Below are 2,601 nucleotides of genomic sequence, written 5' to 3'. Positions count from 1 at the left end.
GAAACCTTTAAGATACCAACAAATAGTAGTTAACATTTATTGAGCATCAACTGTGGTAGGCTTGTGCAAAACATTCTGTATTCATGACCTCATCTGATCTTCATAGCTATTGCCTGAGATAGGTACCATTCTGATCCCATTTTATCGATGAAGAAATTGAGGAACAGAATGGTTAATGGAGAAATGGGAGAAATGGATATAAGTCAGTGCTGTCTTTCTAGGTCTGGCTGAGGAAGTCTTGTAGGGATTGGAGGTATCATGAGTAAATGGATGCTATTCCAGCTGGAAGCCAGGCAGATGGAGCTGTAGCATCCATGACAAGCTCTGAGACCTATTCTCAGCAGAACTGAGGCATGCTCAACAAGGTAAGTGAATCCCAGATAGAAAGCATTGAGCTGTGGGTCCAGCAACAGCAGGGTGGCCAGTGGAGCTGAAAGAAAAGAGCATGGGCTTTGGAATCAAGTCAAACCTGGTTCAGATCTTGGTCCCATCTCTTACTCATGTGTGATGTTGAGCAAGATAATTTCCCTGGGCCTAATTCCTTCTTCTATCAAATAGAAGCAAGAAGACTTGTCTTGCAGGATTGTAATGAAGATTACACAAGCTACCCTCTGTAAAGAGCCCAGAGCGATGCTTGACACATGGGGGGCACTGTATGAATACTTGGGAATGGATGAAAGGAAAGATAGAATTCAAGTGAAGGAATCATGAAATACTTCAAGGAGGAGATAGCATTTGAATTGGACCCTCAAAGTTGGGTAGGGTTTCTGTGAACGAAGGTCAGAGATGAGTCCAGGATGGGCCGTCTCTTGGAACCTTTTGAGGCAGGCACAGCTGCTCAGGATACTCCATGGCTTCTGAGATGCCTTGAGGAAATAAGAAGAAGCCTGCCCCAAGGGGTCTATACTATGGTTGGTGATCCAGTGAAAAGTATTTACTGAGAACCTACTATTGGCCAGACTCTGTGCCTGGGGGGTGCACATATTATTTCCTACCTACCTGTAAGAGAAACTCAGTTCTAGAAAGGTTGAGTGATTTGCTCAGGGCATGCTGCATTGTGCTGAGTCATGCAGGGTAATGCTGAGTCATGCAGGGTAATGCTGAGTCATGCAGGGTCATAATGAGACTGAGCGGCAAGGCAGATTTGCAGCCCAAGCCCTTTCATTCCGTTACACCCTGCATCTCGCAGATGAGCATTGTAAAGATGAGCCCTCAGAGCTTGTCTGCACTGCTAGACCCATTGCCCTGCTCTAACAAATGGGGGCTTGGGGCTTGACTGTCACGTGAAGCTGAGCTTGCCAATGAAGATGCGTGCATGGTTTACAGAGGCCATACTTTTTGACATGACACCTCCAGCATGAACCTTTCAAATTCTAATCGTGGAAATAATTTGGAAGAAGGAGATGAAGGTTATCATTTATTTAGGGGGCTTTATCAACAGAGAGCCTCTCTGGCTTTAATAAATGAGATGTGTTGAATAGAGTGGGATCACTGAGGCATGAGATACTGTGTCTGCCCACGAAGGGCTTTGAATAATTTACATCCTGAAAGGATATTTTATGACAGTGCTTATAATCTTCTTATTGGTTCAAAATCAACATTTACAGCACATGTCTTTGAACTGATGCGGCTGATAAGCTTGTCTCTTTATTATGTGGCACGAATCAAGCCCTCTCAGGAAAGGGAGGTTTCATAGAAATTGATTCCTCTTTGGGTCTCAATATTTTATTCTCCAAAAACAGCCAATAAATAATAGAGGACAGCCATTAATATTTCATTTTAGTTAATATATTAGTAGAGGGAACTCTTTTAATTTGAAGGGGCATGGAAAGGAGGCTTTGGAGTTTTGCAAAGATGCTTTATCTGGTGGCTCCATCTCCCATTAAACAGGTCTTGGGCTTTTCTTCGATGGGAGACTTTTTTTATTGATTCAATCTCCTTACTCATTGGTCTGTTTAGATTTTCTATTTCTTCCTGATTCCGCCTTGGTAGGTTGCATGTTTCTACTCATTTCTTCTAGGTTATCCAATGTGTGCGGCAGCATTTTTTTTTTTTTTTTGAGACAGGGTCTTACTGTGTCACCCAGACTGGAGTGCAGTGGCATGATCATGGCTCACTGCAGACTTGACCTCCCGGGCTCAAGTGATCCTCCCATCTCAACCTCTGGAGTAGTTGGGACTACAGATGTGCACTATCACACCTTGCTAATTTTTTGTGTTTTTAATAGAGATGGGGTCTCATTCTGTTGCTCAGGCTGGTCTTGAACTTCTGGGCTCAAGCAATCCTCCTGCCTCGGCCTCCCAGAGTGCTGGGATGTGTTGGTGTATAGTTGTGCGTTGTAGTCTCTTATGAATCTCTTTCTGTGGTATCAGTTGTAATATCTTCTCTTTCTAATTTTGTTTACTTGAGTCTTCTTTTTTCTTTGTTAGTTTAGCTAAAGGTTTGTTGATTTTATCTTTTCAAAAAGCCAACTTTTAGTTTAGCTGATTTTTTGTTTTTCTAGTTTCTATTTTGTTTATTTCTGCTCTGATGTTTTTTTATTTCCTTCCCTCTGCTAAGTTTGGCCTTTTTTGCTTTTTTTCTTGTTCCTTGAGTTGTAAC

General features: G+C 42.3%; 1 annotated feature.

Moving 5' to 3' along the window:
- Window positions 399-1,598: an enhancer, noted in NCBI's record as "MED14-independent group 3 enhancer chr16:66008681-66009880 (GRCh37/hg19 assembly coordinates)". NCBI's record gives its function as "activates an origin of replication core promoter dependent on BRD2, BRD4, P300/CBP and CDK7 cofactors, and independent of MED14, by STARR-seq in HCT116 cells {active_cell/tissue: HCT116}" and the evidence as "EXISTENCE:reporter gene assay evidence [ECO:0000049][PMID:35650434]".

This window comes from Homo sapiens, chromosome 16 (genome assembly GCF_000001405.40).
Source record: "Homo sapiens chromosome 16, GRCh38.p14 Primary Assembly".
NCBI lineage: Eukaryota > Metazoa > Chordata > Mammalia > Primates > Hominidae > Homo > Homo sapiens.
This window is presented reverse-complemented; position numbering and strand designations above follow the sequence as displayed.